This window comes from Homo sapiens, chromosome 15 (genome assembly GCF_000001405.40).
Source record: "Homo sapiens chromosome 15, GRCh38.p14 Primary Assembly".
NCBI lineage: Eukaryota > Metazoa > Chordata > Mammalia > Primates > Hominidae > Homo > Homo sapiens.
The window spans coordinates 59,084,023-59,098,215 of record NC_000015.10 but is presented as its reverse complement, the minus strand read 5'-3'; the positions used below and the strand labels follow the sequence as shown (position 1 = coordinate 59,098,215).

General features: G+C 36.0%; 1 protein-coding gene across 30 annotated transcripts in view; it reads right to left on the bottom strand.

Moving 5' to 3' along the window:
• Nucleotides 1-796: 796 nt before the first annotated feature.
• The window catches only part of RNF111 (ring finger protein 111), a 109,757-nt gene continuing 96,360 nt past the window's right edge, over nt 797-14,193 (bottom strand). For 9 of the 30 annotated variants that reach the window (XM_047432702.1, XM_047432713.1, XM_047432701.1 and 6 more), the window contains 6 exons: nt 13,962-14,114; nt 12,431-12,557; nt 8,457-8,549; nt 7,062-7,157; nt 5,576-5,703; nt 797-3,433 (listed from right to left, as the gene is read on the bottom strand). In XM_047432702.1, the coding sequence (XP_047288658.1) occupies nt 3,316-3,433; nt 5,576-5,703; nt 7,062-7,157; nt 8,457-8,549; nt 12,431-12,557; nt 13,962-14,114 (715 nt within the window). In that variant the 3' untranslated portion in view covers nt 797-3,315. The remainder of the gene's footprint in view (nt 3,434-5,575; nt 5,704-7,061; nt 7,158-8,456; nt 8,550-12,430; nt 12,558-13,961; nt 14,115-14,193) is intronic. The other 21 variants (XM_047432708.1, XM_047432717.1, XM_047432720.1 and 18 more) reach the window with 3 other exon arrangements.

Here is a 14,193-nt window from a genome sequence, read left to right as displayed (position 1 = left end):
GGCACGAGAATCACTTGAACTCAGGATGTAGAGGTTTCAGTGACCTGAGATCGTACCACTGCACTCCAGCCTAGGCAAAAGATGGAGACTTTGTCTCAAAAACAACAACAACAACAACAAATATACATATATATATAACAACAACACAGTATGTGTGTGTGTGTGTGTCTGACACACATATACTGTGTTCCCAGAGGTTTTGGAAGTTAGAAACTAGGATGTATTTTCTACAGATTTAAACTATTCCCATTTATGAAACACTAATAACAAAATATCCTCAAGAGCTTATATTTTAGTGTTTCATCTAGTTACAAATAACAGTTGTGGTTTTTTTTTGAGAGGGAGTCTGGCTCTGTCACCCAGGCTGGAGTGCAGTGGCGCTATCTCAGCTCACTGAAAGCTCCGCCTCCCAGGTTCACGCCATTCTCCTGCATCAGCCTCCTGAGTAGCTGGGACTACAGGCACCCGCTACCCATGACCAGCTAATTTTTTGTATTTTTAGTAGAGATGGGGTTTCACCATGTTAACGAGGATGGTCTCGATCTCCTGACCTCATGATCTGCCCACCTCAGCCTCCCAAAGTGCTGGGATTACAGGCGTGAACAAGTAACAGTTTTTAAAACAAAAGTAGTTTTCTCTAAGTCAACTGTTATGGTTCAAATGCTGAAGTGTGCTAGCAGCTAAAATAAAGTCACCAGAGTAAGAAAAACGTTTCAAATGATCAGTTTATCACAACTGTTATGGTTCAAATGCTGAAGTGTGCTAGCAGCTAAAAGAAAGTCACCAGAGTAAGAAAAACGTTTCAAACGATCAGTTTATCACAACTGTTATGGTTCAAATGCTGAAGTGTGCTAGCAGCTAAAAGAAAGTCACCAGAGTAAGAAAAATGTTTCAAATTATCAGTTTATCACTTGCATGTTAACAACAATAAAAATAAGGACTTGCTAACAAAAGAATTTTAGTTTTTATGTATTTGGACAGCTACCACTGAAATGTTCATTTTGACATATAAGATGCAGCAGGATATGGAAGACACCAAAACAAAGCACAAAAAGTCAAAATGTTCAAAGTCATTTTCTTCCTTACTTTCTTCATTACTTATCACATTTTTCGATAACTAATGGCAGTAGCTTAATAAGCTCCTATATTAACAATTCAGGTTTATGTCACAAATACTTTTATTAAATAAATTTCAAAGTAACAAAGCTTTGCCTACATTAAAAAAATCAGTAGCAATTATAAAACAAGTCAACAGGTAGTCGTGCATCTAAATCTGATGTAGTATTCAAAAATAGAGAAATCCACCTGTGCTTTACTTGTATCTGGGGGAACGTCAAGAGGACTCCATGACATACAGTTCTCCCCATCTTACACTTCTTCAGTCCCTTGGCACAGACCCGGGGTATTCCAGTGGCAAAGTAGTACATCCATTACAGGCTACTTACTTAAAGGAAGACAGGCTACTTGCTCTTTTCCCCAGTAAGATGGCAGACATAGGTCACTGACTCCTTCACTCTCCCCTGACCTTCTATAACCTCGGTTTAATCATAAGGTATGCTCTTTAAATCCATCGTCCATCTGCACACATACTATGTTGAAGCCTGTTAACATTGACAACTACTACAGTGTAACATTTACTAATATGAAGAAAAGGGCAAGTAGTCATAACTGAATGAATATAAATGTCAAATTATGCAAATGTCAATTTGAGTGAGATCACTATTGTTGAATTCCAAGATGTTTAATGTAAACTGTTTTTATAAAAACTAATTATGAAACACAAAGACAATAGAAATATAAGTTATTTATTAATCAATCCACTTACAAAGCAGGTGGCTTAATGCAAGCTTATTGACATCTTCACATATGATCCATGGGAACATGTCCTCCACATACAGACAGTGATATTACTGACTGGATGCATTTGCAATCTGGGGCATATTAAGCATATTTAAACAAATAAAATTAGGCTATCCTGTATATGAAAGTATCTTGATAATAATATGCATCCTGAAGTAGATTAAAACTTCCTCCAAAGGAGAAATGTTAGTATGTTAACTTAACTTTATATTCTATATTATGCAGTAAATCTTAACTATAGAAATTAAAAATTTTAAATCAGTGATCGACTCTTGGTAATGTATGAAGTGGGAGTATATAACCATAGCAACAGTAGGTTGACAGTATAATTTGTGCCTCACAGTATCTGCAGATTTACTGTTTTCAAGTTTAGAGAGAAATAAAACAAGAGACATGTAGATTCAGCTGACTTTATTTACCTTTAAACTAATAAAAATCCCTTAAAAGTGATCCTGGGACCTTTATAAGTTCTATGAATGCACAGATACCTGCCAGTGACTTAAATTCCAAATCTTGACTTAATGTGTCTACAAAATCAATGTAAGCAGATATCTTAACTTTTCGTGCTTAGCAGAAGACAACAAATTCTACATGTCTTTTTCAATTTCCCTAAAATTTTGTTAAATCTGCAAGTATGTACAATCTAGCTAATTGAAATTAATATTTAGTGTTCATCAGAGCTGTTTCACAGCAGCAAAAACTGAATCAGGGAAATAAAATTCTAAATGATGTAGGAAAAAGATAAATGCAATCAGAACAGCAGTCTAAATGTATGATATCAATATTCAACTCTTATCTGCACTGTGTTGAAAGGAAAAGGATACACCAAGAAAATTTATACTGATCACTCTGGTGATGTGACTACCACCTGCATCTGATTTATATGGGTTGTATTCTGTTCCCAGTATTAAGGATGGTATTTAACTCAGAACTCCATATAGTAAATATACAGCAGCCATTTTGTCCTAATTAAGGAATGTCTTAATACACAATATTATCATTTTCTAGAGGATCTTTATACATTAAACTAAAGTACATGATTGATTAAATTAAAGGTTAGTAATGGATAAAAAATTCATAATTATCAAGGCTTGGTACTATGTAAAAAACAAAAAGACCACAAAATTCTACTTACTAAAGCAGCTAACCTTGCCTGCAAGTTTAGGGTCACAAGCCCATAATATGTGCAAAGAAATGCAATACAAGGAACCATGCAAAAATACAGTAAAATGATACAGAAAAATGTCAAATCTAGAAAAAAAAGCTTTTATAAATACATCAAAATCAACTGTATACATAAACTGTAGGTCTAGCATTAGTTGTACCATATAGCAGAGCCAGCACTCTAAGTTCAATGCTTCCAAATCTGCGCAGGTAAGTCATGCCATCTTTGGTTGACTGCAGTACCAGGAAGGATGGGAATGAGAGGGAGGGCAAGAGTTCTGAAACATGGTGTCAACTTTCACTTGGCAGCTGGGCCTCAATGTCCACTCTGCATATGGGGCACTTCTTATTGGTAATCAACCATTGGTCAACACACACTTGGTGGAAAAGGTGCATACATGGAAGACGTCTATTATTGGCAAGAAAACAAAAAGCAAAAATTAATTTTATGATAATTGTACGTAGTTAACAAATTATATATGTAATAATTCAATAATGTTTTGAAGGTACTAAGCATCTTCCTCTTCTATAAAAAACACATCGATTAAATTAGCACTCTGGGCAATATAATATATAAATGATCAAGATAATTAACTTTCAAAGCTACAGGACCAAATTATATAAAATCTTAAAAACTGTAAGAACACAAATTACACTGCCAATTATTCCAGTTTTGTTTTGGTACAGGAGCTGCCAATGCCCTGGAGTTAGCAGTATGTTACCTGTCACATAATATTGCAAATATATTTTTAAAAATCAAATCATCACTGTATTTGTAATGCCCTTTAAAAATACATATTATCTCAAATATATATTTATTACATCATTTAATTCTCTCTCAAAAACATTACAATTCATGTGGCAAATATATAGTAACTACACTTTCCTCACTAAAAAATGTCTTATTGTGCAATGTTATTTTCTATCAAGAATATCTTTACACATTAAACTTAAGTACATAACTGATTAAAGGTGAGTAATACTTTTTTCACGGAATAATTGTTATATACACTTAATATTGTGCTACTGTTTAACAGGTAAGTTAAAAGGAGATGTAATGATTTGTTTGTTTACATCATGCCAAATTACCAATTAGAAATTGAGAAATAAAGCCCCCAAGCAAGATAGGGTAACATTAAATCTGAGTGTTAACAGTGGAATAAAAGTTACTGACTCGTGTCCATTTCTACTTCTAGCAACTGTTAAGAGTTTTTATACACTTTTCAGACTTCCTAATATCTTGTTAAAATAATAGCCTTAAAAAGTATCCCAATTATTCCTTGAACAGTATTGTCAATACTGTAAAAGCAATTAAGTTCCAAATTTATAAACCTTCATTAGAAATACAGTGTGCAAAAAACCTTATTTGTCGTATGGTAGACAATTTTTTTCTCAGCCAACTGAAGAGGTACGACAAAGTTATCCTTATAAATTAGGGCAATAATATTACTACAAGGTTCTGTTATATATGATATAGAACCTGTTTCATATGGCATTATGTTAACATTAAAAAAAAGAACAGGAAGAAAACAATTACTTAAGTGATTATACAAAGAAAATGCCTAAAATTAATATAGGGTTAACATATTAACATTTTCTAAACAACAAAGGTGCAAGAAGGGAATAGTCCTACTAGTTTAGAGGAAATTTTATGACAAAACCAGTTTATAAAAGATGCTATAGCCGAGTGCAGTGGCTTACGCCTGTAATCCCAGCATTTTGGGAGGCTGAGGTAGGTGGATCGCTTCAGCCCAGGAGGTGGAGGTTGCAGTGAGCTGAGACTGCTGCCCTGAGCCTGGGCAACAGAAGGAGACCATCTCCCAGAAAAGGAAAAAAAAAAAAAAAAAAAAAAAAGATGCTGTAAAACAGACTGCATAGGACTAATCTGGATCCCTGTTTAAGTTTTGAAGAACACATTATAACTTTCTAGGACCTCCAAAGCCTCTCAAATTCTCATTTCTGCAAGATTTACAGAAGACAATTTTGACTACGAAATTTCCCTGGCCAAACCTTGTGTGGCCCTACAATAGGCAGTATATTTCCCACTCCCATGTTGGTAACATAGATACTTTAATCTTTTATTGTTTCACTCGCCAGATGAAGCCAGTTCTACGTGCCAGAAATTGGTAACAGTATATGCCAAAAGTAATCTTTATTTGGTTTCCAGTTTACTTTTACTCTTTTTTTTCAGAGACAGGGTCTCACTCTATTGCCCAGGCTGGAGTGCAGTGTGGTGTGCTCAAAGCTCACTGCAGTCTCAAACTCCTGGGCTTGAGCCATCCTCCTGCCTTAGTCTCCTGAGTAGCTGGCACTGCAGGTGCACACCATCACATGCAAATAATTGTACTATTTTTCTTTTTTGTAGAAACAGAGTCTTGTTATGTTGCCCAGGTTGGCCTCAAACTCCTGGCCTCAAGAGAGCCTCTGGCCTTGGCCTCAAAAAGTGCTGGAATTACACGTGTGAGCCATCATGCCCGGTGTAATTTACTTTTCAAATAAAATCCCATGTACAGTTTTGACAATGGATTTTAGATAATTAATATCTAGTTACCTCACATCTTCACCTTCCTCTAAAATAGACAAACAGATAGTACATTTTTCCTCTGTGTCTTCCTCAGTCCCTTCTTCCCCATCTTGTTTGCAGTGCAGTTTCCTCTGTGAGAACCAATCAGTTGTTACCTTATTAGTAGAGATGACATTATTGAACAACTGAGTAAAGTCTGTGTTTATTTGAAAAACAAAACAAAACAAAACCACATATTCACCCGCACTTTTTTCCCAGGTAAGACTGTCATAAATAAATGGATGAATTAAGTGACTATCATCAATTAAGTATATTTTTAAGACCCTCTAATAATTGGGATCAAAAGCAAAATCAAATTTAACAGAAATTCATTCACTTAAAAGCTATTACTTTTAATCCACAATGAGAATGATAAACAATATAAACTATTTTTATCCTACCATGAGCATAAATAAGTTTTTTTTATTAGTGAATGTTTCAAGTAACATCCATTTAAATTAACATTAGTTACAGTATTTAACTTGGACAGTTGAAAACTTGAATGTACTGGTAATACCTCAATACTCTTTGAAAATAGATGAAAAATACAGAGAATAGTAATTTTCACACTTTATGATTATTCTTTACATAGTATAAAGGAGTCTCCAACCCCTGGGCTGCAAACCAGTACCTGGCTGCACAGCAGGAGGTGAGTGGCAGGTGAGCGAGCATCACTGCTGGAGCTCTTCCTCCTGTCAGATCAGCAGCAGCGATAGATTCTCATAGAAGCGTGAACCCTATTGTAAACTGTGCATGTGAGGGATCTAGGTTGCATGCTCCTTAAGAGAATCTAACTAATGCCTGATAATCTGAGGTGGAATAGTTTCATTCTGAAACTATCCCCTCTGCCACCTATCCATGAAAAATTGTCTTCCATGAAAACTGGTCCCTGGTGTCAAAAAGGTTGGGGACCGTTGGTATTGAGCATGGTTTAAGACACGTATTTAACATGTCTACCCCATAACTGTATAATGCTATACAAGCAACTGAGGGTAGAGTAGAAGAAACATACATCAATAAAATGTCCGTCAAAATAAATTGCTAGTTAAAAAAATTACAGTACTGCCATATGATGGAATTCTGCATAAGCTATTAAAAATAATAAGGGTGATCTGTGGGAGCTAATTGGCATGAAAGGCAATCTGCAAACTATGTGGTAATCATCTCCTTTTGTGTTTTTTTTAAAGTAGACAAAAATATATATACATATGCACATTATTAGAAAATGCTAAAAAATATCTAGAAGAATATCTAAATCCTTAACTATGATTTCACTTCTGGGAAGAAGGACTAGGGTCTGCAGAGTAAAAAACTGCAAAGTATATATTTTTTATACTTTCCAAAATTTTTAAACAATATGTATGCATTACTTCAATAAAAATGTCATTGCTAGAGTCTACAAATTCAAAAAAGGTATATATTACATTTATGCCTTTCAGTAACACTCCAGAAGTTTCATAGAATAAATTCTTACCTTTTTGTATTTATGTGGATATGTACATCTTTCAATTGTCCCCTGGGATGCTCCACGATTGACATTGCCTAATCTTTCTTCCAAATGAATCAGTTCCTGAAAGTGAAGAATATAATGACTGGTAAAAGCCAAGATGATTATTCCTTGAACAGAACTGTCAACATTGTATAAGAAATAAACCTCCATACTTAGAAACTTGCAATATAAATACAGTGTTCAAAAAAACTTACACATGACAAGTGGTTACTTATATATAAGTATATATATAAAACAGTTTATATGTTGCCCAGGCTGGTCTCAAACTCCTGGCCTCAAGTGATCCTCCCACCTCGGCCTCCTAAACTGCTGAGATTACAGGTGTGAGCCACCATGCCTGACTTAATGTTTCTCATAGACAGTAAGGCAAATGGTTGTTTATCATGTTTTCCTCAGCCAACTGAAATGGTACAGCAAAAGTTATCTTTATAAATTACAACAATATTATCACATGGTACTATGTAAGTCAGTATGTATGTATGTATGGAGAAGATGAAATAATTCTAGTAAATTAAGGAACCAAATCAAACAATAGTTCTAAGTCACAATGACTCCAACTTCCAAACTGACATAAAAAAAACACAACGGGGGCCGGGTGCGGTGGCTTGCGCCTGTAATCCCAGTACTTTGGGAGGCCAAGGTGGGTGGATCACTTGAGGTCAGGAGTTCAAGAGCAGCCTGGCCAACATGGCAAAACACTATCTCTACTAAAAATACAAAAATTAGCCGGGCGTGGTGGCGGGCACCTGTAATCCCAGCTACTCAGGAAGCCGAGGCAGGAGAATTGCTTGAACCCAGGAGGCGCAGGTTGCAGTGAGCTGAGATTGTGCAACTGCACTCCAGTCTGGGTGACAGAGCAAGACTCCATCTAAAAAAACAACAACAACAAACAAACAAACAAACAAACAAAAAAACAAACCACAACAAAACTTTAAATCCCATTCGAATGATTTGTTCTTCCTGAAAATTCAAACAAGACATTTAGCTACAAAGGGAATTACTTAAGTTTCTTTTTCTCTACCGATTTCTCTAAAAATTTAGCTGAGTCAAAAACATTCCGTTCCCCACCACATTTAATGGTATAGTTATATATCTGACATTTATATTGATTTAATACATTTTTATATTCTTCTATATTAGATATTTTCATTTACTCATCTTTAAATATTTCGGTAACTTTTGACCCTAAGATTAATAATACTTACAAATATTTCTGTAACTCCCAGAAGCAACATCAGAAAATCACATGTGATTCCCAGCCACTGTAGCAGTCCTACACAATTGTGTATAGTAGTATATATATACTCAATCTGCATTAAAGATACTGTGACAAACATATTCATTTATTTTATTACATACCTCAAAATTGCCCCTGAAAGGACCTCTGAATGATGTTCCATCCAATCCTGATGAAATGTAACGGATGTGAGGATAGCCTGCCATATCAGGAACCTATTTCAACAGAAGAGATAGGCTAAATCAATTTTAAGAATAGACTTGTGATTTACTGTTAACATTGAATAATTCAAGACCCTCAATGTTTTCAATTCAACTGCTCATAAAATTTGACTTCAATAAGAATACATAACTCCAACTAAGCATTCTGTAACAGGTTTAGGTTTCTGTTAAAATATAACCTAACTCTCCAAAATGCCCAAACTTAAGCCTGAGGCTCTTAGTAGCTCAAACTTGAAAAGAGTAAAATTGTCTTAAGATCCTGTCCATTTCAGAGAGCTTTATTAAAACAACAACAAAAAATGCACACAATTTTCCAACAAAATTCGACTTCAAGATAAGTTTTTTACTTCACTTCTGTTAAGCTTCCTAACAGCCAAAGTACCCTATGCCTTTTTTGCTTGATTCTATTAGGGAAACTTTTAACACTGTTTTCTAATTTTTTGTTAGTTACAGTCAATCTTCATTATTTATGGATTACATATGTGTGAACTGACCCACAGGCTAAAATTTACTTGTAACCCCATAATCAACACTTGTGCTTTCAGAGTCATTCGTGGATATGACCGGTGGCAAAAAATTGCAGTTGCCCAACATGCAACTCTGTTCCCAGCTGAGGTAGAACAGGGCTCTGCCGTATTTGAGCTCCTACTATAAACCAGTGTCTTGTTTGCAGACTGTTTAGTGCCACGTTTTTCACAGTTTTGTGCTTTTTGTTGGTGATTGTGTTGTTTAAAATGGCACCCAAGCATAGAGCTGAAGTGCTGTCTAGTGTTCCTAAGCAAAGAAGGCTGTCATACACCTTATGGAGAGAATAAGTTTCATTCACGCATGAGTTACAGTGTTGTTGGCTATGAGTTCAATGTTAATGATTCTACAATATTTTTTAAAGTTGTCTTTAAGCAGAAACACACATAAAAAAGGTTATACACTGATTAGTTGTGAACAGAGGTTTGCAAGGGTCCCATATTTGCTAATTCAGTGTTTGCAGCAACTGTATAGATCATAACTGCCATGCATAGTGAGAGTATTAGGAAAGGGCATTTCTGAGATACAGCACCATTCTTCCATCTTTATAAATAAATCTCTGACATTACTTTTTAATTAGCCTACACTGAATCACAACATACTTTAAGCAGAATTTATAGCTTTAACGGACACTTCATATGTGGAAAAGAATTTAAATAAGCAATAACTTTTAACCTTCAATAGCCTATTACTTAAATTGTTTACAACTTTTCTTATAACCAAGATCATTACTACTCAGCAGATAACCCAACCTCCTAAACATCTTCAAAGAAATCGGAAAGGAACTCCTGCATCCCAAATTATCTAAATCTTCACTTACCCTGAAAAGCCTCTCCTCCCTAGTCTCTTTCCTCCAGCCTTTATGGATGAGCTTTTCTCCTATTCGAACTCAATCCTTATCACCCACTCCTCCCTTCACCTGTTCACCCTGGGTCATGCTTACTTCACTACTTCCCACCAAGCCTCTCTCTCTTCAATATCTTCAAACAATTCCTCTCTAATGGTTTTCTGTCTTAAACCTGAAAATACCTTAAGTTTTTCCAAACCTAAATTCTCTACTAATCCTGGAATTACTGCCAACCAAATAGGGGTTTCCTTCACTTTCCCTTCACAGCCAAGCTTATAAAGCAAGAAGGCTATATTCACTGTCTCCATGTTTTCACTTCCTTACCGTACGTAATCTAAGAGGTGCCCCATCTACATCACTCACCATTACTGAACCATTCTGACACAAAAGACCAATAACCACTCTACTGCCAAATGCTTTCAATACTTTTCAAACTTTATTTTTTTGTGATGACACCATACTGACCATATTACAGTTCACCCTTGAACAACATAAAATGGGTTTGAACTGCATGGGTCTGCTTACATGTAGATTTTCTGCCACCTCTGCCACCCCAGAGACAGCAAGATGAATCCCTCCTTTTCCTACTCTTCAGCTTACTCAATGTGAAGACAATAAGGAAAGAGACCTTTATAATGATACACTTTCACTTAACGAATAGTAAATGTATTTTCCCTTCCTTATAATTTTCTTAACATTTTTTTCTACTTTATTGTAAACTATCATTATCTATTGTAGACTATCATTATCACGTACTTATAACATACAGAATATGTGTTGATCAACTGTTTATTTTAGCAGTAAGGCTTCCGATCAACAATAGACTATTAGTAGTTAAGATTTTAGGAACTCAAAAGTTATACTCTGATTTTCGACTGTGAGGAGGGTCAACACCCCTAACCTCTGCATTGTTCAAGTGGTAACTGTATTTTCTGATATTATTTTAACTGTGTTTCTCAACTTTTCAAGCCAGTTCTCAGAATCCTTTGTTCAAAGCATAGTATTATCATTTAAATACAGTATTGTCATTCTCTAAGGTTTTTTCACCCTCTTGTCACTCTGCACATTTTTCCTGAAAACCTAATCCTCTTCCATGGATTCATTACCTCCATATACTGACAGATCAAAACATATCTTTAACCCAAATATCTTTGGAAATCCAGACCACAGGCTTAACTTCCTATTGGACATTCAACTTTCATAGAGATTCAGTACATCCAAGACCTAACTCACCTAACCCCTTCACCCAAACCCTAAATATCTCTCAAATGTGTATCATCATTTTTATGCCAACTACAATTGCCTTCATTCAGGCATTCATCAATATTTACCTCTTCTACTATAATGTCCTAACTGGTTTCCCACATTTACATCTATTTTTCCACATAACTGAGGAGGTGATCTAACTATAATCTGATTAAATAACTCTAAAATCATAAATTTGATCAGGACATTTCCCCTTCAATGGTTCCTGAGTTCCAGTTTCTTGGTAGAACAGTTTTATTTCTCACTGCTGCCTGACCCTCACTCCTAAAATTAGAAACACCAGCTTACTTGGAGTTCCCAGTGCTTGTGCTATTTGCTACATCTTTACATGCTGTAACCTCTGCAAGAGCACCATTCCATAATCCAGTCTGCTTAGAAGTCACATGTACCAGAAAGCTTCTCTGAAAGCTTTCCTGCAGTGCCTCTACCCACAACAACACAAAACTATTCCCTTTTCTGTACCATTTATATAACAAGTATGTAATACAAACAGCAAACGCAATGTATGTTTTGCTGAACTTGTCCTTTAGCACTTTACAAAATCTGAACCTGCTTAAATCAGATGTAGAGAATTAGTATAATCTTTCTGCAGATTAGAAAATCAGGCTGGGTGCCCTGGCTCAAGCCTGTAATCCCAGCACTTTGGGAGGCCAAGGTGGGCAGATCACTTGAGGCCAGGAGTTTGAGACCAGCCTGGCCAAATGGTGAAACCCCATCTCTATTAAAAATACAAAAATTAGCCAGGCATGGTGGCACGTGCCTGTAATCCCAGCTACTTGGGAGGCTGAGGCAGGAGAATCACTTGAACCCAGGAGGTGGAGGTTGCAGTGAGCTGAGATCATACTACTGCACTCCAGCCTGGGTGACAGAGTGAGACTCTGTCGAAAAAAAAAGAAAAAAGAAAATCAAGTATGACTGCATCAGAACGGATCTATTACCACTTACGGCAAAATAACTGAAGCACAGTATACTCCTGACAGTGGATTAAGAGTATCTTGGTATACAAAAAACCCCACACTTTTTTGTCATGTCGTACATTAAGAGTACATGTTATGATGCAAATTATACGTGCAGATTTTAATACATCTAATACCTTTTTATAGCACAATTTTAGCTAACAAGATTACTCTCAAATTCTATTAAAACATCTATATTAATATAGTGAAGTATTTCCAATAAAATACTTAGAAAAGGAACTTTTAGAACATGTCAAAATTTTGAAAATTTTCCATTTTACCATTAAAGGAAGAGCTCCTAATTGTAAGTGATGAAGTCGAGGAGGTGCGTGATAATGGGCCAAGTGAGGATGCAATGCACCAGGTGTATAAGTAGCTGCAGTCACTCCAGCTTCAATTCCCAGTTCCCTAACGAAAGGATGAGAACAGTTTAATCCTCCTTAGGGTCTCTTTTTTATCAACAGACATGGGGAGTTATGTTTACACTTAAAAAAGTAATCTAAGGTTTCTTAACTTACAAAGCTGAGGAAAGATAATTTAGCCCAAAATATTTAACTAATAATTTCAAATTTATTTTAGAACTGAAAGCTCTAAAAACTTAAATTTTGTGACAATGAGGAGCAAAGCATTTCTACTTGGTTTCACATCTTACAAAGGAAGGAAATATATGGCTACGAAGTTCCCTTCCAAGATAAAAGTCTGATTCTACTTGAGGAGCATACAACATAGAATTTACTTTTTTGGTGTATCTGAATGTTACAGATGCTCTCTGGGTTTTTGTTTGCTAGATATCATCTCTTGGTTGTTGACATTAAGGACGATTAGAATAGCAAACTCTTCTACACCTTATAAAAGAAGGGCAAACAAAATTTTAGAAGGGGTAAAACTGTTATATGCTAAGTCTTCATTTACTTATTCTCATTTTATGTTCTGCCTCAAAAGTCATTGTGGTTCAAGATCTCAATGAATGCCCACACACAATGGATTCAGAAAATTAATCTAATGAAAATCTGCTTCCACCTATCTAGGAAAGACCACAAGTCTAGGAGAAGGCAGGCTAAATTTCCCTTGTCAATGGCAGGTGAGGGTGGTGGAGCAAATCTGAGTACAAAGGTGGGGGTCAGATAAAGAAGATGTGAAAAGTAAGATCAGTCGAGGGAGTCAACTTTGGTAGTAACCCTGAAGAACAGGAAAAAAGGTCCACGCCTCTTACTTACATGGGAACTCTAAAAAACCTAAACTCACAGGAGAGAGTAGCATGTTGTTTACCAGAGGCTGGGGAGAGGGTGGGGGGTCATGAATGAGGAAAGGGGAGATGCTGGTCGATGGGTACAAAGCTTCAGCTGGGAGGAGTAAGTTCTGATATTCTACTGCACAGCATGGTGACTACAGTGAAGAATAACGTACCGTTTATTTCAAAACTGCGACAAAAGATTTTAAATATACTCACCACAAAGAAATGATCAATATTGGAGGTGATAAATGTGCCATTAGCCTGATTTAATCATTTCACAATGTATGTATGTATTGAAATACTATGCTGTACCTCCAAATATATACAATTATTATTTTTCAATTAAACATAAAATAACACCTAAAAAAAGTACTACTCCTGCTTGATATGGTTCCCTGCCCCAGCTCCTATTCTTTCCTCTCCAAACCTCTATCTGCCCAGAGGCAGTGTCTCAGTTAAACTGGGGATTAGGTTTCTCCACATCATCCTTCTGCAAAGCAATCAATCACAAGGCATCTCTTCCAATAGTTTTACCACAAGCTGTGAAGCACTGTTTTGAAATTAAAGAAGATACTGACCAGGCAGACCTCTCTGGAGCCTGTCGAGGATGTGAGGACATAGTCTGAGGCACATGAATATGATGCCCATGACCATAGTTTGGGTGCATCCTATGTGGATGGGGTGGGGGGCGTTCATGTGCCCGCCTGGAAACACAGAACACAAAAAGACCACTGGAAATAATTGAATAATTGGTTATTTCTTTTCTTAATGTAGAAAAAAATCCCTAGTATTAATACTATAAACATCTAT